Raw genomic sequence first — 26857 nt, 5'->3', positions numbered from 1 at the left:
GAATAAATCTCATGAGATCTGATGGTTTTATAAGGGAAACCTCCTTCTCTTGATTCTCATTTCTCTCTTGCCTGCTGCCATGTCAGATGTGCCTTTCGCCTTCCACCATGATTGTGAGTCTTCACCAGTCACGTGGAACTGTGAGTCCATTAAACCTCTTTTCTAAAAGTAGCCGGGTGTGGTGGTCGGCTCCTGTAATCCCAGCTACCTGGGAGGCTGAGGCAGGCAGATCACAAGGTCAGGAGATCAAGACTACCCTGGCTAACATGGTGAAACCCCGTTTCTACTAAAAATACAAAAAATTAGCCAGGCATGGTGGTGGGCACCTGTAGTCCCAGCTACTTGGGAGGCTGAGGCAGGAGAATGGCGTGAACCCAGAAGGCAGAGATTGCAGTGAGCCAAGATCGCGCCATTGCACTCCAGCCTTGGCAACAGAGCGAGATTCCGTCTCAAAAAAAAAAAAAAGAAAGAAAAGAAAAAAAAAGAAAAATGCCGTAAACCTCTTTTCTTTATACCCAGTCTCAGGTATATCTTTATCAGCAGCATGAAAACAGACTAATACACCTAGTGTCATTAATAAAAGATAAAAGATGATTGAATAGTATATTTTATTATAAACAAAATATGAAGCTGTAAAAATGAATGAGAAAGCTCTCTGCTGGAAATAAGGATGAATCTCCAGAATATAATATTTAGTGGAATAGGATGGTACAGAAAGGTGTGGAAGGAAGTGGGGAAAATAAGAATAAGCATAAATACTTATATTTCCTCCTGTTTACACCAAGAAACTCAGGAAGGATACATAAGAAACTGAGTGGTAACCTGAGGGCAGGGGCAGGGGTGGATGTGAGCATGGGGAAAATTACAACATTTTTCACCTATACCTATTGACATTGTTTTGATATTGAACCATGTGAAAACATAACCTATTCTGAAACACACACACTCACGCGTACAGACCACAGTGTAAGCTGGGACAATCGTCTTGACAGCCTGTTTGGCAGGTCAGGCAGACCCTAGAGATGCAGGTCAGGCAGACCCTACAGATTCCAGGTTTAGTTCTAGACCACCACGATAAAGCAAATATCACAGTAAAAGGAGTCACTTGAATGTTTTGGTTTCCCATTGCATATTAAAGCTATGTTTACACTATGCTGTAGTTTATTAAGTGTGTAATTGCATTGTGTCTAAAAAACAATGTACATACCTCAGTTAAAAATACTTTTATTGCTAAAAAATGGTAATGATCATCTTAGCTTGTAACAAATTGTAATCTTCTTTTCTGGTCTTGCCTGAATGTTGATGGCTGCTGACTGATCAGGGTGGTAATTGCTGAAGGTTGAGGTGGTTGTGGCCTCACAAATATTCCTAATACAAGAAAATGAAGTTTGCTGCATTAATTGACTCTTCTTTTTATGAAAGATTTCTCTGTAGCATGTGATGTTGTTTGATAGCATTTTACCAACATAGAACTTCTTTCACAATTGGAGTCAGTCTTCTCCAACCCTGCTGCTGCTTTATCAACTAAATTTGTAGAATATTCTAAATCCTTTGTGTAATTTCAGCAATGTTCATAGCATCTTCATCAGGAGTAGATTCCATCTCAGTAGGCCACTTTCCTTGCTCATCCATAAGGAGCAACTCTTCACCATTCAAGTTTTATCATGAGAGTGCAGCAGTTCAGTCACATCTTCAAGCTCCTCTTCTAATTCTACTTCTCTTGCTATTTCCACCCCATCTGTAGTTCCTTTGTCTACTGAAGTCCTGAACCCTCAAAATCATCCATAAAAGTGGGAATCACCTTCTTCCAAACTCCTGTTAATGCTGACATTTTGACTTCCTTCCATGAATCACAAATGTTCTTAATGGAATCTAGAATGATGAATACTTTCTAGAAGGTTTTCAATGTACTTTGCTCAGATCCACCTGAAGAATCATTATCTATGGCAGCTATAGTCTTATAAAATGTATTTCTTAAATACTAAGACCGAAAAATTAAAATGACCCTTTGATTCATGGGCTTCAGAATGGACGTTATGTTAGCAGGCATGAATACAACATGAATCTCCTTGTACATCTCCATCAGAGCTCTTGAGTAACTTAGATGCATTGTCAATGAGCACTAATATTTTGAAAAAAATCTTTTTTCTGAGCAGTAGGTCTTAACAATGGACTTAAAATATTCAGTAAACCATGCTGTAAACAGACATGCTATCATCTATTCTTTGTTGTTCAACATATACACCACAGAGTAGACTTAGCATAATTCGTAAGGGCCCTAGGATTTTTGGAACGGTAAATCAGAATTGGCCTCAACTTGAAGTCACCAGCTGCATTAGCCTCAGAGAAGAGAGTCAGCCTGGCCTTTGAAGCTTGAAGACAGGCATTGATTTCTCCTCTCTAGCTATGAAAGTCCTAGATGGCATCTTCTTCCAATATAAGGTTGCTTCATCTACATTGAAAATCTGTTGTTAGTCTAACCACCTTCATCAATGATCTTAGCTGGATCTTCTGAATGGCTTGCTGCAGCTTCTCCATCAGCACATGCTGATTCACCTTGCACTTTTATGTTATGGAGATGGCTTCTTTCCTTCAGCCTCATGAACTAAACCCCTGCTAGCTTCCAACTTTTTTTCTGCAGCTTCCTCACCTCTCTCAACCTTCATAGAACTGAAGAGACTTGGGCCTTGCTCTGGATTAGGCTTTGGCTTCAGGGAATGCTGTGGCTGTGGGTCTTCTCTCTAGACCACTCAGACTTTCTCCATATCAGCAGTAAGTGTGTTTTGAATGATAAGCGTTCCTGTGTTCGCTGACTCGCACTTTTCATTTCCTTCGAGAACCTTTCCTTTGCACTTACCACTTGGTTAGCAGTTTGGTGCCACAGACCTAGTTTTTGGCCTATCTCGGCTTTTGACGTTAGCTGAATTATTTAAGCTTATGTCAAACCTCACTAAGCTCAATGATTTTTAGCTTTTAGTTTAAAGTGAAAGATGTACAACCCTTCCTTTCACTTGAACACTTAGAGGCCATTGTTGGGCTATTAAGTGACTTCACTTTTAAATATTGTTTTGCTCTAGGGAATTTGGAGGCCTGAGTAGAGGGAGAGAGACTGGGAACAGCCTGTCGTAGAGGAGTCAGAATACACACACTTATTAAGTTTGCTCCTGTATGGGCATGGTTTATGGTGCCCCAAAATAGTTAACAGTGGTAACGTCAAAGATCATTGATCACAGATCATTGTAACAGATATAATAATAATAATAAAGCTTGAAATATTGCAAGAAATATCAAAATGTGACATGGAGACACAAAGTGAGCACATACTGTTGGAAAAATGGAGCCAAAAGACCTATTCGATGCAGGGCTGCCACAAAACTTCAATTTTTAAAACATGTAATATTTGCAAAATGCAATAAAATGAGATATCCCTGTATTTACTACAAAGCTAAGATAATCCCTCCTAAACCCGGGGATTTATGTAAGAGAAATGAGCACAAACAACTGAAAATAACACAAATAACGTGTTGACAAGAGAATGGCTAAGTAAATTGTGGTATGTTCTTAGAATGGAACACAAGTGAGGAATAAAAAAGAACAAATGATTATTACATTAAACCAACGGATGAATCTCCAACATGCTGAGTTGAAGAAGCCAGGCATGGGTGAGCCTGATTCTGCACACTCTGATTCTGCATGTATGAAGTTCAAGATCAGGGAAAACGAATCATTAGCCATGGAGTGAGCACAGTGGGTTTTTTTTGAGGGGAGTGACAATGAGGGGGAGGGGCAGGAGGGAAGCTTTGTAAAGTGCCGGTGGCTACTGGGGTCTCATCCCGTGCAGACATTTCCAGCAATCATCTACAATTCATGCACTTTGAGACTCTACAGGATGTATAGTATGTTTGGCCTCAATGAAAACATAAAAGAATATGATAGTCTTCCTGAGATGAAACCCTCTCATACTTTATGTCCTGGAAGAGCCCTCTGTCTTCATCACTCTTTTTTGATATTTTATTTTGGAATCATTACCGATTCACAGAAAGTTGCAAAGAAATGCAAAGGGAGGTCCCCTGCGTAACTACAGTATATTATCAATACCAGGAAGTTGAACGTGATAAATCCACAGGGCTTTTTCAGTTTTTGCCAGTTATATAGGCTCTCATGGATGTATGTGTGTGTTTGCACACATGTGCATGTCTACATAGCTCTATGCAATTTTATTTTGTGTGTATCTTTGTGTCACCACAACCACAATCCAGATAGAGAACTTGGTTTCTCGGGCTTCTCCCTTATCCCACACAGATTCCTCCTCCTTTCTCTAACCCCTGGCAACTGCGAATCTGTTCTCCATCTCTGTGATTTTGTCATTTCAATCATCTTATGTAAATGGAAGTCCCTTTCTATTGTGTTTGAGGCTTTATGCATATCTGAGTCTATTTATTGGGTATAAGCACTATGAACTATTATTTCTAATTTGTACAGAGTGGCAATCCATGGGAACTTGGGAAGTTCATGGGATTAACAAGGAGCTGGCATTCATGGCATTCTCCTCCTGTGGCTAGAGTGGGGCTCCTTATGTAGGATGGCGAGCTGTGTGAGCTAGAGAGAGAATATCTTCATGCATTGATCTAGGTGATTCTAAAGCCTGACAGAACCAATTTAAGAAGATTGGAGTTGTATCTAGTGTTGTTTCTGACCACAGTGGTGTAAAACTAGAAATCAATAACAGGAGGAATCTCAGAAAATTCATAAATATGTAAAGACTAAACAACATGCTCCTGAACAACCAGTGGGTCCAAGAAGAAATTGAAAGTGAAATTAAAAAATACCTTGAGACAACTGACAGTAGAAACTTAACATATCAAATCCTCTGGGGCGCAGCAAAAGCAAGAGGGAAGTTTATAGCAACAATGCCTACATTAAAAAGAAGAAAGATCCCAAATAAATAGGCTAATATTATGCCTCAAAAAACTAGAAAAAGATGAAAAACTGAACCCAAAGTTAGCAGAAGGCAGGACATATAAAGATCAGAACAAAAATAAATCACATAGAAAACAGAAAACCCATAGAAAAAGTTCATGTAATCAATAGTTGGTTCTGTGAAACAATAAACAAAATTAGCAAACCATAAGCTAGATGAGAGAGAGAGAGAGAAAGAGCGAGAGAGAGAACTCAAATAATATCAGAAAATAAAATGGAGTCACCGCAAAAATAAAAAAAAAACCATAAGGGACTATTATGAACAATTATATGCCAAAAATTAGGTAACCTAAAGAAAATGGATAAATTTCTAGAAGAAAATTACCTACCAAAATTGAATCATGAAGAAATAGAAAGCTTGGCCAATAACAAAGAGATTGAAAAAGTAATTACAAACCTTCCAACATACAAAAACTCAGGACCACATGGCTTCATGGCTGACGTCCCTCAAACATCCAAGGAAGGAGTATTACTAACACATCTCAAAGTCTTCCAAAACACAGATCTGAAAGGTATAATTCCCAATATCTTTTATGAGGCCAGCACCACCTTAATACCTAAGTCAAGGACAGTATAACAAAAGGGAGCCGCAGGTCAGTATCTCTGATGGACATTGATGCAAAAATCCTCAATATAATATTAGTAAACCAAATCCAATGTGACACCACAAAGGTTACATATCATGACCAAGTGGGATTTATCTCTGGCATGCACGGCTGGTTTAACACATACAAATCAATCAATGTGATACGTCGTGATATGTCACATTAACAGAATGAAAGATAAAAAACCACAGGATCATTTCAAGTGACACAAAAAAAGCATTTGACGAAGTTTAGCATCTTTTCTTGATAAAAACTCTCAATGGTTTAAGTACAGAAGGAAAGGTCCTTAAACCTGTAGTTAACATCATAATCAACAGGGAACAACTGAAAGCACTTCCACTAAGATCTGGTACAAGGCATAGATGCCCACTCTTGCCACGTCTATTCAACATAGTACTGGAAGAGCAATCAGACACGCTGACTGCAGGAGTAATCAGACAAGAAAAAAGAAAAAAGTTTTAGGGTTTCCTATATATAGGGTCATGCCATCCGCAAATAAAGATAACTTGACTTCTTCATTTCCAATGTGGATGCCTTTCATTTCTTTTTCTTGTCTGATTGCTCCTGCAGTCAGCATCTGATACAAAATCAGCATACAAAAATCAGTTGTATTTATGTACACAGATAACAACCTAGCTCAAAAAGAAATCAAGAAAACAATTCAATTTATGACAGCATCAAAAAGTAAAATACTTAGGAATAAACTTAGTCAAGGAGGTCAAAGATTTACACTGAAAACTATAAAATACTGATGAAAAAAATTGAAGAAGATACAAATAAATGGAAAGATATCTCCTGTTTGTGGATCGGAAGAATTAATATTGTTAAGATGTCCATGCTACTAAGCAATATACAGATTTAGCACAATCCCTATCAAAATTCCAATGGCATTCGTCACAGAAACAAAAAACAATCCTGCAGTTTGTGTGGAACCACAAAAAAAACCTGAACCACCAAAGCAATACTGAGAAATAAAAACAAATTTGGAGGTGTCATGCTTTCTGATTTTATTTTTATTTATTTATTTTTTTGAGATGGAGTCTCTCTCTGCCACCCAGGCTGGGGTGCAGTGGCACGATCTCGGCTCACTGCAAGCTCCACCTCCCAGGTTCATGCCATTCTCTTGCCTCAGCCTCCAGAGTAGCTGGGACTATAGGTGCCCACCACCAGGCCTGGCTAATTTTTCTGATTTTAAATTATATTACAAAGCTATAGGAATCATACTGGAATAAAAACAGAAACATAGACCAATGGAACAGAATGAAGGGCCCCAAAATAAATCCAAATATAATATGGTTAGTGAATTTTCGACAAGAGCACCAAGAGGATGCAAAGGGGAAAGGAAAGTCTTGTCAATCAATGATGCTGGAAACACTGGCTTTCCAGTGGGGGTTTTTTTTTTTACCACACATACACACACACACACACACACACACAAAGAAAAAAAAGAAATTGCATCCTTATCTTACATAGTTAACAAAAATCAACTTATAATGCATGAAAGACTTAAACGTAAGACCAGAAACCATAAAGTTCCCAAAAGAGAGCATAGAGAAAAACCTTCTGGATATTGGCATTGCCATTATTTTTTTGGGCATTGCACCAAAAGCTCAGGCTACAAAAGCAAAAAGAAATAAATAGGACTACCTAAAACTAAAAAACCTCAGCACAGCAAAGGGATCAATCAACAAAATGAAAAGGCAGCCTACTGACAAGGAAAAAACATTTGGTAATCACATACCTAAACAAGGGTTAATTTATACAAAACTTATAAATACTCATACAATTCAACAGTTGAAAAACAAGTACCCAATTTAAAAAACAGGCAAAGAACCTGAACAGACATTTCTCTAAAAAGGACAGAAAAATGCCCAACAGGTATATGAAAAGGTGCTCAATCTCACTAATCATCAGAAGCAAGCAACTTAAAATCACTATGAGATACCACCTGGCATCCATCAGGATGGTTATTTTGAAAAAGACAGGAGGTAACAAATGTTGGCGAGAGTGTAAAGGGAACCCTGGTACACACTGGGTGGGAATGTGGATTGGTATAGCCCTTATGGGAAGCGGTATGGAGGTTCCTAAATGAATTACAAAATTGCACTAGCATATGACCCAGCAGTCCATGTTCTGTGTGCTCTGCTCACCCTCCTGAGCCCCTAAATTGGCCCGGAAATCAGGATCATGTGCCACAGGCTGAAGAAACATGCTTTTCTGCAAGTGGGCGATAGACCCAAAGAAGATGAAATCACCACCTCTTACAGCCTGCACTTCCCTGACCCTTGCAGCGTTACTCCCAGTGGGCACTTCCCTGACCCTTGCAGCGTTACTCCCAGTGGGCGCTTCCGTGACCGCCGCAGCGTTACTCCCAGTGGGCGCTTCCGTGACCGCCGCAGCGTTACTCCCAGTGGGCGCTTCCGTGACCGCCGCAGCGTTACTCCCAGTGGGCGCTTCCGTGACCGCCGCAGCGTTACTCCCAGTGGGCGCTTCCGTGACCGCCGCAGCGTTACTCCCAGTGGGCGCTTCCGTGACCGCCGCAGCGTTACTCCCAGTGGGCGCTTCCGTGACCGCCGCAGCGTTACTCCCAGTGGGCGCTTCCGTGACCGCCGCAGCGTTACTCCCCGTGGGCGCTTCCGTGACCGCCGCAGCGTTACTCCCAGTGGGCGCTTCCGTGACCGCCGCAGCGTTACTCCCAGTGGGCGCTTCCGTGACCGCCGCAGCGTTACTCCCAGTGGGCGCTTCCGTGACCGCCGCAGCGTTACTCCCAGTGGGCGCTTCCGTGACCGCCGCAGCGTTACTCCCAGTGGGCGCTTCCGTGACCGCCGCAGCGTTACTCCCAGTGGGCGCTTCCGTGACCGCCGCAGCGTTACTCCCAGTGGGCGCTTCCGTGACCGCCGCAGCGTTACTCCCCGTGGGCGCTTCCGTGACCGCCGCAGCGTTACTCCCCGTGGGCGCTTCCGTGACCGCCGCAGCGTTACTCCCCGTGGGCGCTTCCGTGACCGCCGCAGCGTTACTCCCCGTGGGCGCTTCCGTGACCGCCGCAGCGTTACTCCCCGTGGGCGCTTCCGTGACCGCCGCAGCGTTACTCCCAGTGGGCGCTTCCGTGACCACCACAGCGTTACTCCCAGTAGGTACTTCCGTGACCCTTGCAGCGTTACTCCCAGTAGGTACTTCCATGACCACCGCAGCGTTACTCCCAGTGGGCGCTTCCTTGACCACCGCAGCATTACTCCCAGTGGGCACTTCCGTGACCCTTGCAGCATTACTCCCAGTGGGCACTTCCGTGACCACCGCAGCATTACTCCCAGTGGGCGCTTCCGTGACCACCGCAGCGTTACTCCCAGTAGGCGCTTCCGTGACCACCGCAGCATTGCTCCCAGTGGGCACTTCTGTGACCACCGCAGCGTTACTCACAGTAGGCAGGATACCGAAATAGCGTAAGTGTCTGTCAACACTGAGGGTGCCAGGGATAAGAAACCCTGGTCTATATACACAATGGAACAGTATTTAGCTTTAGAAAAGGAGGTTGTGCCATTTGCCACAACCTGAATAGACCTGGGGGACATGATGCTCAGCAAAGTAAGCCAGAGACAGAAAAGTAATGCGTGATCTCACTTATATGTGGAACCCTTAAAAAATTACAGTTCAAATATTCAGAGATAGAGAATACAACAGTGGTTTCCAATGCCAGGGCGGACGGGGAGAAGTGAGTCAATGAATTCAAAGTGGAAGATTGACAGGAAGAGTAAGTCTAGAGACCTAACGTCTGCATGAGGGCTATAGTCAATAAAGTCATATTCTATTGCAACAAACAAAGCGGCAAAGTGTTTGATGCTCAGGAAGCATGTGTGGCCTTAAATAGGTGGAAAATAACCGCCTCTTCCAGGGTAGGTCAATGACCACGATAATCAACTTCTGATTAGAATGTATAAATGCAGACATTTGGTTTGCACATAAGTTGATGCATTTGATGTAATTTTAAAACTTCATTCTTCCTTAAAAATATTTGAAAGGCCTTTTACTTTTTTCTTTAAAGCAAGCACAAGACGCGAAAGGCTATGGATCTGAGGTTTCCTCAGTGGAATGATGATGTGGGGCGCTGGATTGAAGCCGGGGCTCCTGGCGAGTGCGTGAGATGAAGTGGAAGCAGAAGAATCAGGTGGTGGTTTAGGAACTCGCAACAACCCCACTTCCGGGGAAAGGAAGAATAGTCATTTCCACTTAGCCTTAGTTTTGCTTTCCAAGCTCTCAATTACCTGCGGTCACAACCTCAGTCAGAAAATATTAAATTAAAAAAAATTCCAGAAATAAACAATTCCCAAGTTTTAACTTGTGCACCCTTCTGGGGAGCGTGGTGAAATCTGGCACCGCCCGCTTGGTCCCTCCCGGGACTGAACCCTCCCTTCGTCCAGCGTCTCCAGGCTGCGGACGCTCCCCGCCCCTCTTATGGCCTCTTGGTTATCAGATCCACGGTCCAGGGGTCGCAGTGCTTGAGTACAAGGAACCCTCATTTGACTTCATCATGGCCCCAAAGCACAAGAGCAGTGAGGCTGGCAATGTGGGTACACCAAAGAGAAGCCAGAAGGTGCCCCTTTAAGTGAAAAGTGAAGTTCTCGACTTAATAAAAAAAAAAAAAAAGGTAAGCTCAGGATGCCAAGATGTCCAGTCAGATGGAATCTTCTATCTCTGAAATTGGGAACAGCATATTGGTATAATTATTCTATTTTATTATTAGTTATTGCTAATCTCTTACTGTGCCTAATTTATAAATTAAACTGTATCGGGGGGTGTTTGCATAGGGAAAACATCGTGTCTGTAGGGCTTGGTACTATCCACCATTTCAGGTGTCCCCTGGGGGTCTTGGAACGTCACCCCCAGGATAAGGGGGATGGCTGCACTTGCTGTGGTGACCATGCGTTCCCTGACTCCTGTCCTGTCCGTACGCCGTCTCCCAGGAAAGCCACAATCTTTTCTTGTGAATCTTTAGAAGAGAGACAGTTTCACACTCACTTCATGGGAGGCTGGGTCGATTTGTTCTGGAAAACCCCTTTGCTCGATAACATAGATCCTACATAAAGCATTAGGACCCCTTTCTTTTAAGAACCTCTTCGTTAGGTAACTGCCACTCTGAGGAAATATCTTGGATGTGTTCTCCAAGCTCTTGCCTGTCCGCACAAGTGGAATCTTCTACAACCTTCTAGAGGACATTCCGATGTACTGTAGTGAGCCTTTTGAGGCACAGCGTCTCTGTAGGATCACATACCCTCTGACAGGGGAATCCCTCTGAGGTTCATCGTTGGAACTGGAGGGGGGCAGGAGGAGGAAGACTCTGGTGAGCCACCTTCTGAGTGCCGTACAGCCCTGGACCCTGGGGAACGAGGTGCCCTCTTGCAAATTAGGTGAGGCCTGTGGGTCCTCGCTGCGGGAGGAGGGCAGGCATCACCTCTGGGACAGGCCCCGCACTCAGCACAGGAGTTATCTGGGCCCAAACCCAAGGAAACCAAACGTGGGAGGCATGGTGTTTAAAGGGGCTGTGCTTCCGAAATCACGAATGCACCCCACACAAAAATCACTAAAACCAACGCTGATCCAGGCTAATTCACCCTCCTCAGGAGAACTAAAGGTGCTGAAATTCTCCCCGCATGGAGGCTCGCGTTTCAGTCTTCACCTGTGTCTTGGCTCTGACAGTGTCCCACTTTGGGTGGTCAAGGAACAACTGTCCATAGGCGCACGTCATTAGGGACTCAGATGGGGCATTTTCCACCGCTGCATGAAGACATGGCACAGACCGTTCTGAGCCCCCAGAGTGGCACGGACGTCAAGATCACATGCCACAGGCTGAAGAAAATCATGCTTCTGCACAAATGGGAGATGCTTCCCTGCCTGAGGGGCTTCTGTTACAGTCTCGCTCCACTCGGCACCAGCACCGAGCTCCCTCAACCTCAGACTCTAGATCTGACCGAGAGCCACGAGCTCTGATCCGTGAACACTCCGGGGAACGCAGGGAGGCAGTGGGCAAACCTCGGGCTGAGGAGGAGGGTGACGGGTGGGGGAAGCTGGGGCCTGGCTGCTTCGCAGGGGGACGTATTCCACACAGGACCTCTGCAGGGAGGCAAAGCGCCGGGACCAGCCGCATTCCAGCCATACCTCGCTGGCCACTAGGCACGGCCAGTTCTGCCTGGAGTGCCAGGGCTTTGCAAGGTAAACATCTGACCAGCAAGGTAAACATCAATGTAAGTGTTTCTGAGGACCCTGCTTTATAGGGCACCGAAGGAAAATAAGACACAGTCTTGTTACCTGGGAGTCTCTAATATTCTTTTTTTTTTTTTTGAGATAGCATCTCACTCTGTCACCCAGGCTGGAGTGCAGTGGCGTGATCTTGGCTCACTGCAACCTCCACCTCCCAGGTTCAAGCAATTCTCCTTCCTCAGCCTCCCGAGTACATGCGACTACAGGCGCCTGCCACCACGCCCGGCTGATTTTTGAATTTTTAGTAGAGATGGGGTTTTACCATATTGGCCAGGCTGGTCTTGAACTCCTGACCTTGTGATCCACCCCCCCTCGGCCTCCCAAAGTGCTGGGATTACAGGCGTAAGCTACCATGCCAAGCCGGCGAGTCTCTAATATTCTTTAAGGCAAAAAGAAGGAGAAGAGGCCGGGCGCGGGGGTTCACACCAGCACTTTGGGAGGCCGAGGCGGGTGAATCACGAGGTTAGGAGTTTGAGACCAGCCTGGCCAACATGGTGAAACCCTGTCTCTACTAAAAATACCAAAAATTAGTTGGGCGTGGTGGTGGGCACCTGTAATCCCAGCTACTTGGGAGGCTGAGGAAGGAGAATCTCTTGAACCCGGGAGGCAGAGGTCACAGTGAGCTGAGATCATGCATACTGCACTCCAGCCCAGAAAAAAAGGAAGGAAACAAAGATGGAAGGAGAGAAAAATGTATAAGGGTGATTTGAGTGACATGGTGGGCAAAGAGAAAGTTAGGCTGGGGACTCCATCCAGGGGTGACCTGGGCTGTGGGGCTTGTGCCTGGAGGCCCCAGACTTGAGCAGGCTGGGCCCACTCCCATGGATTTGTCCGTGAGGCCTCCTCCAGCAGACGCTGGTGGGCCATGTTTCTAGCGGGTGCATTCACTCGCTGAGGGCTTTGCTCGCTGCTGGGGCTGGGGCCAGGCCTGGGCAGAGGGGCTGTCCAAGGCTCAGCAGTCCTCAGGGCCGTGAGTCCAGGGCCAGCAAGGGGCTGCCATGTGCACTGGGCCCCAGGGACTGCAGTGCAGCTGGGCCCCAGGAACCACCCAGGCTGTGCCAATCTTGGGGCTCTGGCAGAAGGACTAGTGCTGGCTGCCAGCTGCACAGGGTGGGGAGGAAGTGGACAGGCTGAGCCACAGGTCTTGGGACCCAGGGGTATCGGCGGAGCAGGGGTGGCAGAGGCTGCGCCTGAGGCCAGGCAGGGGGTCGGGGGCAGGAGCAGCAACCCGATCTCCGAAAGTTTTTTATGCAAACTGCTCTCTCAGGTCTGACTTGTGTTCTAAGCCAGGCGTCCTCTCTGGTTTGGCCACCGTAAGCTCCCTGGGGCCACTGTAACAAAGTGCTACAGACTACATGGCTTCAACAGCAGACTTGATTGTCGCTCAGTGCTGGGGGCTGGAAGTCCAGGACCAAGGTGTCTGCAGGGTGTTGCTGCGGAGACCTCTCCTTGGCTGCAAGTAGCTGTCCCCAGGTTCAAGAGACCTTCTCCCCGCGTGCACTTGCCCACACTTCCTCTTCTGAGAAGGACGTTAGTCTTATTAACTTAGGCCCACCCTAACAATCTCATTTTATTTATTTAATTTCCTCCATCTTTCTTAAGGTATAACTGACAGAGAAAAATTGTATATATTCACAGTGTATAATTTGATATCTTAATATACATTGTGAAATCATCACCAAAATCAAGCTAATTTACACATCCATTTCCTTACACAGTTAACATTTTCTTTCTTTTTTTGGTGGTGAGAACACTGAAGAAGTTCTCTTGGGCCAATTTCCAGTGTGTGACATGGCACTGTGAACTGTTTAGGCACCGTGATGAGCTCACTCGCCCAGCGTCTCCCCATCTCCCTCATCCTGGATCCGGTGGCCACTGTGCTGCTGTCTGCTCCTGTGGGTTGGACTGTTTTAAACGGGTCATAGAGGCAGCGTCATGCAGGACCCGTCCCTGTGTGCCTGGCTTATTCACATAGCATGATGTCTTCCGGCTTCATCCACATTGTTGCGAGTGACAACATGGCCTTCTATCCATATTTAAGGCTGAATAATATCCTGTTGCATGTGATGCCACGTTTTCTTTATCCATGTATCTGTTCACGGATACTTAGTTTGCTTCCATGTTATCTGGGTCTATTTAGGCTGCTATGACAAAATACCTGAGACGGGGTCATTTATTAATATAAACAGTAGAAATTTATTTCACATAGTTCTGGATGCTGGGAAGGTCAAGACCAAGGCACCTGCAGATGTGGAGTCTGCCGAGGGCTGCTCTCTGCTCTGTGACTGGAGTCCCGTGGCTGTATCCTCGCGTGGCTGGAGGGCAAGGCAGCTGCCTTCTGCCTCTTTTATGAGGCACAGATCCCATTCCTGAGCTCAGAGCCTTCATGACTTAATCACTTCCCAGAAGGCCCCACCTCTTCACACAGTCACCCTGGTGTTAGGTTCCAGTGCGTGGCTTTTGGAGGGACACAGGCGTTCAGACCACAGCACACGCCTTGGCTATTGTGAGCCATGCCGCAACAAACTCGAGGGTGCAGATATCTCCCTGAGCTACTGATTTCATTTTCTTTGGCTGCCACCCATTAGTGGGACAGGGGATCATATCAGTTCTATTTTTGACATTTTCAGGAACCTCCACACTGTTTCCATAAATGCTGCATGTCCTGATTCACCTTCCCAGCCACAGTGTATGAGCTTCCCCTTCCCCACATTCTCACCAGCGCCTGCTATGTCTTGTCCTTTTGATAATGGTCATGATAACAGGTGTGAGGTGGGATCTCATTGTGATTTTGATTTACACTTTTCTGATCACTCATGTTGAGCACATTTTCCATGCTTTCGGCCATTTGTATGTCTTCTTTTGAGGAATGCTTTGAAATGATCTCATTTTACCTGGACTACCTCTGTAGAGATCCTATCTCCAAACAAGTCCACACTCGGAGATACTGGGGGTTAAAAATTCTGCATAGGAATTTTAGAGGCAGAGTCAGCCCGTGACACCATGAGGTTCTCCCACTGCAAAGATACCTGCTGCATGGCAGCCTAGATTCCTCCGTGCTGACAGCCCCCTGCTCCTGACGTGGAGGTGGGGACCACCCTGAGTTGCCTCCTTGCTGTGCCGTCAGCCCTACCTGACCCTCTGCACAGGGGAACATTTCCTTTGATGAAGCCACTTGAGCTAGTTATTGCTGGACAGGCCTTTCTGTTTGCTTCAGTAACATTCTTCTTCTGCAGAATCAAGCCTGTCATCTCCCCTCACCTACAGACAGTCTCTGTCCTTCCTGGGATGCAGCATTATAAACACTGCAGTGTAGCACATGATACCCACTTGTCAGGTGAGGAAGCCGAGGTTCAGGAAGCAGACATGACTTGCCTGAGGTCACAGTGTTAGGACAGCACCGTGCCAGGGCTTGAATGTACTTCTGAGGGACATGGTGCCACATGGCCACTGCTCATGAAAAGAAGGGCCTGCTTTTTGCTTTCTGAACATGTACAGGTGAGAGCTAAAGCTCGTGTGAAGCCATTTTGCTTTTTGCACCAAATGTCAAGTCTCCAAGGAGACAGTTGTGAGCCCTCACATGCAACCCCTGTCTGTTTGCTGATGCTGTGCACATGCTCAGCTGGGGTTTCCAAAGCAGCACATTGCCCAAGAACAGTGGACTGGTGGCAGCGGTCTAGCAGCTTACCTCATTTGCACGAGCGCTAGCTAAAATTTTCATGATTGTCAGTTCCCTCATTTAAAACAAAGCAAAATGACTAGAAAAGAAAATCAATCAATCCACTTATGCCTATAAGAAAATCTTGAGGAGTTGATTTTCTTTTTAACAGAACAGATGGCTGGTAACAATAAAGTCAATGTTAACATATATCAGAATTTTAGTCCAACAGCAGGCTGGGGAAATGGGTAGATGTGGAGAGAAAGAGGGAAGAGGCATTTTTAAGACTTTTGTTTACTTCCAAACTTCAGGAAATTATGAGAGTGACATAAATGATGATAAAGCAAGAAGACCCTGGTTTTGCTGGTGGGCCACTGAAGATAAGCACTTTGGGAGGAAACCAGATTAAACCAGGCAGGAGAGCAGCGGCTGAGAGCATGGGGCTGGAGTGAGACAGCCTGGGTTGATGCTGTCGCCAGCACTGATTGGCATGTGCGTTTTAATGTCTTGTACCTCTGCTTTTCAACTGTGCAATGGAGACTTCACAACCAGATGCCCAGAGATGGGCTGTGAGCATGAACAGGACACACAAATGGCCAGCGACCGTACCTCCCACCCAGGAGGGACTCCAGCATCAGCTCGTAGCCTAGCGTCATCGGGAGGCAGATCTGATGTCAACAGAGGAAATGACCCATCACAATGCTTCTTGGATGGAAAAAGGCAGAGCTAGAGTCCCGTCATGCCTCTAGGCCTGCGCTGCCCTGGAACTGGCTTTTCAAAGGTATTTAAAATCAAATCCCTTATAATTAGATTACATTAAAACTCAGTGCCTCAGCTGCAGCAGCCACATTTCGAGGGCTCAATGGCCACACGTGGCTGTTGGCTACTGCATGGACAGAGATGTGGGATGTTCGCACCCCTGCAGAAATCCTACGGGGAAGCCTTGCTCAAGAAACAGGGATGGGTGTGCAGAGAGCACCCAGGATGGTGGGTGGGGATGTGATTAGCAAAATGCAGAGGATGGAAACCTGTGCAGGCAAATGACTTCATTTCTTCTACAAACGAGCAACAGGGGCAAGGAGAATCGTCAGGGACACACCAGCCGCGTGAGACCTGTGTGCCTTGCTGCATCTCGATTTGAACAAACCAGTGGGGACAAAAAGGCATTTATAAGACAATTGGGAAATTGTAAACATTGGCTGGATATTTGATACTATTATTGCATTTTATAAATTTTTTATTTCAAAAATTGTGGCAATATGTAACATAAATTTAGCATTTAACCATTTTCAGTGTACGGTTCAGTGGCATTAAGTGCAGTCCCATTGTGTTTTGTCACCACCCATCTCCAGAACTTTGAAGCTCACCAAACTGGAACTGTGTCCCAACCAAGCACTGACTCCCCCTCCCCCTCCCCCTCCCTGCCAGCCCCTGGCAGCTCCCTCTCCCTCCCTCCTTCTCTCTCTCTCTCTTTCTTTCTTTCTCAGAGTTTCCCTCTTGTTGCCCAGGCTGGAGTGAAATGGCACAATCTCTGCTCACTGCAACCTCCGTCTCCTGCTTCAAGCAATTCTCCTGCCTTAGCCTCCTGAGTAGCTGGGATTACAGGCACCTGCCACCACGCTTGCCTAGTTTTTTGTATTTTTAGTAGAGATGGGGTTTCACCGTGTTGGCCAGGCTGGTCTCAAACTCCTGATCTGAGGTGATCCTCCTGCCTCGGCCTCCCAAAATGCATGGATCACGGGCGTGAGCCACTGCACCCAGCCTTGTTCTACTTTCTGTCTCTCAGAATGTGACTATTTGAGGGACGCCATGTGAGTGGACTCAAACACTCGTTTAGTGTTTGTCATTTGTGGCTGGCCTGTTTCACTTAGCACAATGTCCTCATGAGTCATCAGTGTTATGGCACGTGTCAGAATTTTCTTCCTTTTGGGGGCTGAATAATATTGTATGGATACACCACATCGTTCACCCACTGAGGGCCACTGGGTAATGTCTGTCTTTAGGCTACTGGGAATAATGATGTGGTGAACATGGGTACAGCTGTTGCTTCAAGATCCTACTTACAGTTCTTTTGAGTGTGCACCTAAAAGTAAAATTGCTGGATCATATGGTAATTCTATTTTCAAGTTTTTGAGGAATGCTGAACTATTTTCTGTAGCAGTGCCACCATTTTACATCACCACCAACAGTGTACGAGTCCTCCAGTTTCTCCACCTCCTCATCAACACTTCTTGTCTTCTTTTTTTTTTCTTGATAATAGTCATCCTAGTGGATGTGAGGCTGTGTCTCATCGTGGTTTTGATTTGCACTTCCCTAATGACTAATGGTGTTGAGCGTCTTTTCATGTGCTTATTGGAAATTTGTACATCTTCTTTGGAGAAATGTCTATTCACATCCTTTGACCATGTTTTAATCAGTTGTGGTTTTTTGTTGTTTTTGTTGTTGAACTGTAGGAGTTCTTTATATATTCTGGTTACTAATCCCTTATTAGTTATATGAGTTATAAATACTTTCTCCTATTCCATATGTTGCCCTTTCACTCTGCTGATAATATCCTTTGATGCATAAAAGTTTCTAAATTTGGTGTAGTCCAGTTTATCAATTTTTTCTTTTGTTTATGTTTTTGGTATCATATCCAAGAAATCACTAATGAATTCTGTTAATTTTTAGGTGCAATAGTCATACCGCTTATGTTTTCTGAAAGCCCTGATCTTTTAGGGAGAAACACTGAAATGTTACTGCTGATGAACGATGAGGCCAGGGATCAGCTTCACAACCTGGCAGGGGTAAAACGTGAAAGGGGCCATGTTGAAGTGAGACTGGCCAATTGTTAACAATTGTGTTGGCTGATGGGCTCAGGGGAGGTCATCATGTGAGTCTTTCTCCTTTAGCATATGTTTGAAATGTTTCACAGTAAAGAAACTTAAAAGAAAAATTGGAAGCATACATTCTTCTTTCCAGGGCTGAGACAGATTTCTGCCCACAGGTGAACACATGCCTCACACTGGCGCCCACGGTGATGGAGCTCAGGCTCTCTCCTTGGGTGCCTGCTGCCAGCCCTCCAGAACATGCTACAGAGCACAGGGGCCAGTGGCCCCTTCCTCAGCAGCCCATATTGATGGTTTTCTGATAAAATACTGTGTTTAGAGACCCAAAGGAGAGAGGACAACATGGTGATCTCTGGGAAGTGCTGCGCTATCAGACTTTTTTTCCTCTGCGCCGGTCCTGCCACTGTGATGTAGGAATTTTGGAAGCCCCCTGTCAGAAGGTGTTTGTCTCCAGGCTGTGCAGTGAGTGGAGGGAGTGGGGCAGCCATGGCCTGCCGGACCAGCAGGGTCTGAGAGGCAGCAGGGCTCCCTGCCCTGCCCTAAGCGCCGGGACGTCAGCTGGCCCTGCTTGCCTCAGTAGTACTTCGCCGCAAAGTGAGGACAAGGGGAAAGTTGGGATTCACATGTTATGGTCTCCAAAGGCGGCAAGGAGACCTATTGCTGCCATTTATTGATCATCGATTATTGACCAGGCACAGTCAATTGGTGATCAGTAGAGCTAAGCTCTCTTCCCAGGCACACCATTCCATTCATCCTTATAAAAGCCTATGAGCATCATGGTCCTCATTTTACAGACGAGGAAGCAAGGGCTCAGAGAGGTTATATAATTTCCCCAGGATCACATAGCTGCTACGTGGCAGAGCTGAGATGCACGCACAGGTTGCCCTGTCTCTTCCTGACTACGGATGTATGTGGTGAATCATTATCTTGCATTTGTCTAGTTTTGAAGAGACCCTTAAATCTTTAGCTATAACAGTAGTATAGGTTTTGGGGGTTCTCCTCATTTTCCCACCTATAATATTCATTTTCTTCGGTGTTGATTCACACCACACCCACCGTGAGATGCAGACATGAATGGTGAGACCGGCCTTCCCAGATGTACAACACTAGGAAGGGTCTCTTTAGGAAGCCCAGTGGGCCCCTGAGCTTCGCAAAAATTATCATGGTGAGCCTGGCGGCCCACGCATGGGCACGGCTGGCACAGGAGAGCACAGAGCACAGCAGGGCACCAACTCATGGGGTCAGTGCCCAGGGCAGGGGTACACGGATTCTTCTCACCAGCTGCTTCCCAGGGAAAATAGTCTGGTTTTGGTCCTGAGTCTGGCACCCAATCTTCTGCCCTAACATTGATCCTGTCTCCTTTGGAATAAAATCGGGCAACAAATGGCTGGTGGGTGGGGCTTTGTGCTGGTGGTTGGTTTTCTTGGCAATGTACACATAGAATACATTCTAATTAGATTTAGCACATTTCTAAAATAACCACCCTTATGGATAAAATGTGAAACCACCATACGTACAATTTGCCATGCATCAGTGACATAAAAAAACACATGGTAAATACATTATAATTATTGGTTAAGATAAAGCCAAGACAGTTCTCTCTTTCTAAGTGCTCATTTCATTGTGAAAGGTTTAATAAATAATTATATCGCAGTTCTGTAGTCCCCTTAATGGCTTATTAAACAGAAATAAAGCAATCAACAACCAGTCTAAACAGGACTTGAAAATACCTTGCAAATAATTTGTAAGGCATTTCTGAATAAACTAGTTATGAAATGTCAATATTCTTAAAATATCAATACACATTAGTGTTGCATTTACTTTCTGTTTTCAAACCTACTCTATTCTGTTCCAAAAAAAGCTTATAAAGATACTTATAATCAGATGCACAACCTTTAAAACAAATGAGCTGAGAGTCGCTGTAGCTGGCACGAATCTGAGGGTCTCATAACACTGTACATTTCCAGCCTTGTTTTGCTTTTGCCTGAATTGAAGCCAAAAAGCTTTCAAAAACCTGCGTTCACCAAAAACAGCGCAAACTGCCAAGGCATAAATTGAATTCTAAAGATTAACTGCAGCTCTAGCCATTGTTACCTTTTATTGTCTTTGTTTGCTTAAAAAAATGGATTTGTGGTCTGAAATGTGTATTGCCTGCATACTAACATTTTAGAAATTTTACTCATTTTTAGCCGCATGACATTTATCTTACTCTCTAAAATTTTAATTAAACTATTTTGTTTTCTGTAGGATGCAAGCTATATTCCTCATGTTTTGAATTGAGTAATGGTTTTTATTAAAATTACCTACAATTCCAAATGTACTGAGATGCATGCACTCTTTCCCACTCACTACCAGTGGGGCCAAAGACATTGAATGTAGAAGGTACAGGTCCAGCCCTTTAAGTAAGTCAAGCAAACACATTGCTTCACTCCCACCAGAAGGACACCAGTGTCAGATTAGACACCAGGCTCTTATTCTGATTTGACTTGCAATTTGGCAGATACACTCCCTCAAACTGCAGATGCTGCTAAACCCTTTATAAGTAAGTTAATATACCAGTTATTTCTAGGCCAAGCTCGCAAAGTACATCACACATTTTAGCCGCTTCAGTAGCTAAAAGATCTCCCCAACATCACTGGGCTTGTGCCTGAGTTATTTTTATTTTTCTTGAAGTTCTGAAAGAGTTTTAGTAATGCAACTGCTTATTTTCCCCCTCACTCATGACCAGCAATTCTTCGACTGGGAGGCCCCAGCACATTTACAAAGGGTCCCAAGATCAAAACCGTTTCATAATAATGCCAGGATGCCCATTGCCCTTCTAATAGTGTTGATGTCTGCACCAGTGGTGCAAAGTCGGTGGTGAGTGCAATGCACCTGAGCCCAAATCAAGGCAGCAGCCCTCATCCGGGCCGGTAATCACAGTCTGTTCACAGTGAAAAGAATCCAAAAGGCAGTTTCACTTGAGAATGGACTTGGTGATGCAGGAAAAATGGTTAATTTTGTGACCTCTCCCCCTTGAGCACACACCTTCTAAGATTCTTTGTGGTGGCACGGGGCATCTACACAGAGGGCAGGGGTGTCTCCACAAGAACACTTGTAAGGCCTTCTGAGTTAGAAACCAAACTAGCCAGTTCCTTTTCCATGGAATGCCATTTTCCCTGGAAAGGGCACCTGACAAACCATGGCTGTCGAGATGAGGGTACGTGGCAAAGGTTTCCTTGAAAGTGAAAGAGAGCTGGGAGCAGTGGCTCACGCCTGTAATCCCAGCACTTTGGGAGGCCAAAGCGGGTGGGTTAACTGAGGTCAGGAGTTCAAGACCAGCCTGGCCAACATGGTGAAACCCTGTCCCTACTAAAAAATACAAAAATTAGCTGAGTGTGGTGGCGGGCACCTGTAATCCCAGCTACTTGGGAGGCTGAGGCAGGAGAATCACTTGAGCCTGGGAGGTGGAGGTTGCAGTGAGCTGAAATCGTGCCACTGCACTCCAGCCTGGGAGACAGAGTGAGACTTTTTCTCAAAAACAAACAAACAAGAAAATGAAAGACGTGGCTTCTTGCTTCAAGGAAAAACTGGACGATTTGTTGCCAATGACATTTGATTTTTCCAGTAAAAATGTGAATTTTTGAAATTTCTATCTACCACAATCGGCTTAAGACCTTTCCGGTTCTTAAAGGCCTTTCAGACAGAACTGGTGGTGATACTGATGAATGCAACGATGGAATATGGTACAATGAGATGTGTCCGCTGCAGGGCTCAGAACCAGTATTTTCCAGATGACCCATGCATGACATTACAAAATCATCACTGATGGGTGAAAGGCTTATTCCAAGTGCAAGAGAAACCAAGAGACCACAGAATGTTTGTTGACATGGTTTTGGATTTCACACTGTGTGTAAGTAACCTTTAAGATGCAAACACTTGTCATGTTTTCGTGTAGTATCAAAGGGGGATATTCACAACTATCTGAAAAGGCAATTGATATGCTTCTCTTTTTTCCAACCACGTGGCTGTGTAAGTCCTTGTTTTCTTCATATATTTCAATTGGAACAACAGACAGCATGAGACTTTATACTGCAGGACTGTGAGGACCCAGCTGTCTCCCCAGAAGCAAGGTCCAAAGGAACACGTCTCTTCTCACTGAAATGTTTTTTAAAAATATAGTGATTTCTCATGGAGAGCTTAAAAAGTAATAATTTATCATTGTTATTCTTAAGTGGATTAACACATATTCTAAGATTGTATCGGCTTTAACTTTAATACAGTAAATATTTATAGGTATAACCCATACAGACAAAAGCTCATAGGGTCTTCAACATATTTTAAAAGTATATTGTGGCCTAAAGACAAAAACATTTCTTTCTTTTTTTTTTTTTTTTTTTGATACTGAGGTTGGTGAAGAACTTAAGTTAATTAGAAACCAATTTCAATTTCCCTTATTTCCAGAACAGAAAAAAGTATGTAAAAGACACCATATCGTTACGTCATAAAACATTCTCAGGACAATGGCTGTTTTGCTGTGGTCTCAGATTGGCCCCAGCAGCACCATTGAGCGTCCCTCACTGGATAGGAGTGTGTGCAGGATTCAAGCACATTGATTATAATAATTTTTTTTTTTAAATCAGCTGGGAGAGTGGAAGCTGTTGGCATTTTAAAAATCAGATTCAGAAGTCGACTGTTGGGAGAGTGGAGTCTCCGTGGGCTTCCGGCGTCGTTCATGTGAACCGTTGGGAAGTGAGAAAGAAATGGCTGCATGGAAAAGGCCATCTCTTTCCTGCTCTTTCCTCTTTGCACTGGCATTGGGCTTCTAGAACCGGCCCGAGGTCACCGACCGTCTCCTGATTCATGACATTCGGTGCCCACAGCCTCATCTCGACTCCCTTTACAGAAAAAGCTGAAAGTTGAGTCTGAGCACAGTCTTATTTAAACAATGATCCTGGAGACGCTCCAACCTTAAAAACCCAAACAGAGCAAGACAGACAACCTACAGCAGCTGAAAACTCTTTGCTGGGGATTGAAGTCATGTCTTCTTGAACTAAATTATAATTCGGTTGTGCATACAAGCACGCTCATATGTACCGCAGACACACCTGGTATCTCACGGGCAGTTTGAAATTATGACAGGGGTGTACAGTTCTGCATGAGTTAGTTTTGTTGTAGTAAATCTTGAACTCACGACTTACTAGGAAGAAAGAAAAAACAATTTAAAACGCTGAAGAAATCCCTCCTGAGGGTATAAATGCCTTTGCTCAATTTCAGCTTTATTCACAGTAAGGTCCTGAGTTCTGTGCATGTTTTCAGAGTGTGTTTCTGATAATGCTGTTAAAAATGAAAATGTTGTAGTGTTTCTGCCAAGTTCATCATTTTCAAACATTAATAGTCTCACTCATTTTTGCTCAAAAATTCTTTACACTTCATAGGATTTCCTTTTTCACCAAGGTCTTCCCATGTTTTCCAAGTTAATTCTCTGATGTTTTACAGTGATTAAAAATGACTCAATGATTTCATCCGGAGACATTAGAAGCAAACAGAGGAGAAAACATATCAGGAAGTGCATAGGCTTCTTACGCCGGGTCAGGCAAAGGCACAGCTTTTGGGTCTAAGGAGCTATGCCCTTGATGACGTGAAAAACATTGAGGAAACGAACCTGAGTTTTCAAACACAGGTGTGCTAAGCCATGCCATGCAGGAGATGTGGGGATTCAGTGTGGAGTCAGCACATGCCCTGTCCTGTGCCACCTGCAGGCCAGGGGGCCCTGCTAGGCCTATGTGAATGTATATGTAAAGTTGTGTCTTTGATAATAAAGAATTGCTAATGGTTACAGATCCCTCCCTCACGTGTAAAATCATCCCGAAGGCTCACAAGGGGGTGAAATGTTGCCGTGTCCTGCAGGCAAAGAATGCAAAGCAAGGAGATGATTTCTGCATCTCACATAGTTAGGGTTCAGGTTAGGGTAGGGTTAGCATTCAGGTTAGGGTTAGGATTAGGTTAGGGTTAGGGTAGGGTTAGGTTAGGGTTGGGGTTAGGTTAGGTTAGGGTTAGGATTAGGATTAAGGTTAGGGTAGGGTTAGGGCTGGGGTAGGGCTAGAGTAGGGTTAGATTTAGGGTAGGGTAAGGTTAGAGGTAGGGTTAGCCTTATTGTAGGTTGGTTTTATGTGTTGGGGAATCGGGCAAGTTTCTTTAGCCTTTGTTCATTTTCGGAAATCCCTATGATCTTCACTGAATCTGATGTGTGGTGTTTGTGTTTTCTGTGTTTGTGGTGTTTTATATTTAATGCTTTCTCTTGTAGATTATTAGGTGCCTGGAGTTGAGAAATGTAGTCATGTTACTTCTCTGCATGCTGTCACATCCACACTGCTCTACATCCCTGAACAGATGGCCTGGTATGGCCTCTCTGTTCCTCTCTCTGCAAACCTGTGTTTGATCAGTCAAGTCAGCACCTGCAGTGGACTGTGCTTGGCTGCCAGTCACAGAAAATGCCCACCTAACCATCTTCGACAATATGTGAAATTATTTGTTTTAATCTGAAGTAAGAAAAAATCCCAAAGAGGTCTGTTTCCCAGGCTTTGAAGTCAGTGGGCACAGAGCCCAGCTTTTTTCCTCTCTCCTCCTGCATCCCCCGGGCACTGCCTTGGCCTCAGGCTGGCACTTCTCAGGCCTGCACCCACCCCAGGCACCTCATTCAAGCACAGCCAGGCTCTCCCTTGACAAAATCCATGGAAAAGGTGGAAAGATCTTTCTCCATGTCCCACCTTATCAGCAAAGAAATCAGAATCAAAAACCTCTCCTCAGTTCCCGCCTGATGGAGTTAACGCTCACGCTTATGTCTACATCTGTGCCTGCCAGGAACGGAGTCCGTGGCAATTTGGACTTCTTTGGAGTTGGGATGGGCTGCTAACCTTGAAGCTTAAGGTCACAGGGAGGAGCGTGAACACCTTAGGAAGACTGCATTTCATTAGAAAGGGAAAGAGGTGTGCCACTTGGTCAGGAACTCGCTGTGTCTGCTACAGGGAGAGAGAACAACCTCTATCAGCGTTCCTACTTTTTCCAGTTTCCGAAGGGGATCCAGAGACCTTTGGGGAGGCTCCCCTGCTGGGAACGTGGGCTACAGACGTGGTCGTCTTATGTGAATCTTTAGACCCTGGAACACCAGTGCATCCCAATCTCCGCAACAGGTCTCTGTTCTCCTTCATAATTACTTCTCGGGGCTTCCACGGGTATCACGGCATCAGTTATTAGTAAAGGAAGGGACTTCGCAGGCACAGCATTCCGCATCGTCTTTCCTCCAGCATGAATTAAAACACGAGGCCGAAGGCAGGTTCCACGCTCCTTCTACCTCTTTATAGATCCCCCCAGGGCTGGTGTGGCCAACCCGAACACTTTGAAGGACTGACTTCAGGATCCAGCCCAGCGCCCCTGCAGGGATGGAGAGTCTGTGACTGCGGACGTAGAGGTGAAAGAGCACCTTGAAAGAGGACTGGGGAGAGGCCCGGGCTGTGGCGAGGGGAGATAAAGGAGGGGAGGCCTCCTCTCAGGAAGTTCCCTTTGGTTCTCAATATCTGGTGCAAGCGGGGATCAACGGAAAGCTAGCGTGAGATGGGAGAGGAGGATGAAGGGCATCACTGATTTTAAGAAGAAAGAGAAATCATAACAATGACCTTAACGCAGCGGCAATGGCAAAGGGAGAAAGCTGATATTAGAGGAACGAAATGTCATTTTCAATATTCACAAATTATATATAGTATAATGAAAAAGTAGATGATTTTCAAATGAAAGATGATTCATAAAAGAAAAAGCAAAGCTCTCAATAAAGGCAACTGGAAATACTGTCCTTTCTGGAAGGCTAATTCTTAAAAAACTACCTCATTTAACATCATAATCAAATATGGCTTATAATAAATAAGTACATTTTACCAGACCTTGAATAAAAATTGATTTGGATTTCATGATAAATTATTCTAGAAAATCAAGATATAATGAATGATATGTACAATATAAAATTTATTACTTGGGTCACAAAAAATTAATGATATATTAATTATTTGAGGACTTCTTTATAATTTATATGATCAGAATAAATTGGTCCTACAAAAGATAGAAAGGTCCAATGTTTAAATGTTTATATGTGCCAGAGGAAGAGGAATCTAAATGGATGTACAAATGAAAGGTCTCTCAGTTTCACTTTAACCAGGTTTGGGTGAATATACTAGAAATATGAAGAAACAAATCAGGAAAAGAAAGAACAAAAATGTTTGTGCATAGAATGCACATAACTATGTCAAGGTCAGGATTTTCTTTTCAGCTACATACTGTATGCAGTAAAGTGGAAGAAAGCTAAATGGCAATACTGGAGTCATCCCTGTGAAAATAGTACTTACAGCGGTTACACAGTAGTTACTATACATTCATCCTCTTGCCCATCAGTTAATTACATCACCCTTTAAGATAGACGTATAATGTAATTAGAGATTTGAACAGTTCACAGCCAGATCACTTAAAGTAACATTGTTAATGGGCTCTAGAAGTTCTCTCTTTAA

General features: G+C 44.7%; 2 long non-coding RNA genes across 2 annotated transcripts in view, besides 1 other annotated feature; one reads left to right on the top strand and one right to left on the bottom strand.

The window, feature by feature from the left end:
* The window catches only part of SOX1-OT (SOX1 overlapping transcript), a 135706-nt gene that overhangs the window by 84128 nt on the left and 24721 nt on the right, over positions 1-26857 (bottom strand). The window lies entirely within an intron of this gene.
* Positions 8940-9917, top strand: LOC105378193 (uncharacterized). The gene is made up of 2 exons (XR_007063876.1): positions 8940-9025; positions 9625-9917. It is a non-coding gene; the product is annotated as an uncharacterized LOC105378193 (long non-coding RNA).
* Positions 11632-12175: an enhancer, noted in NCBI's record as "H3K4me1 hESC enhancer chr13:112666027-112666570 (GRCh37/hg19 assembly coordinates)". NCBI's record gives its function as "activates a minimal SCP1, AML or CMV promoter by ChIP-STARR-seq in naive H9 embryonic stem cells {active_cell/tissue: H9 hESC(naive)}" and the evidence as "EXISTENCE:reporter gene assay evidence [ECO:0000049][PMID:30033119]".

This window comes from Homo sapiens, chromosome 13, assembly GCF_000001405.40.
Source record: "Homo sapiens chromosome 13, GRCh38.p14 Primary Assembly".
In the NCBI taxonomy this organism is placed as follows: Eukaryota; Metazoa; Chordata; class Mammalia; order Primates; family Hominidae; genus Homo; species Homo sapiens.
This window is presented reverse-complemented; position numbering and strand designations above follow the sequence as displayed.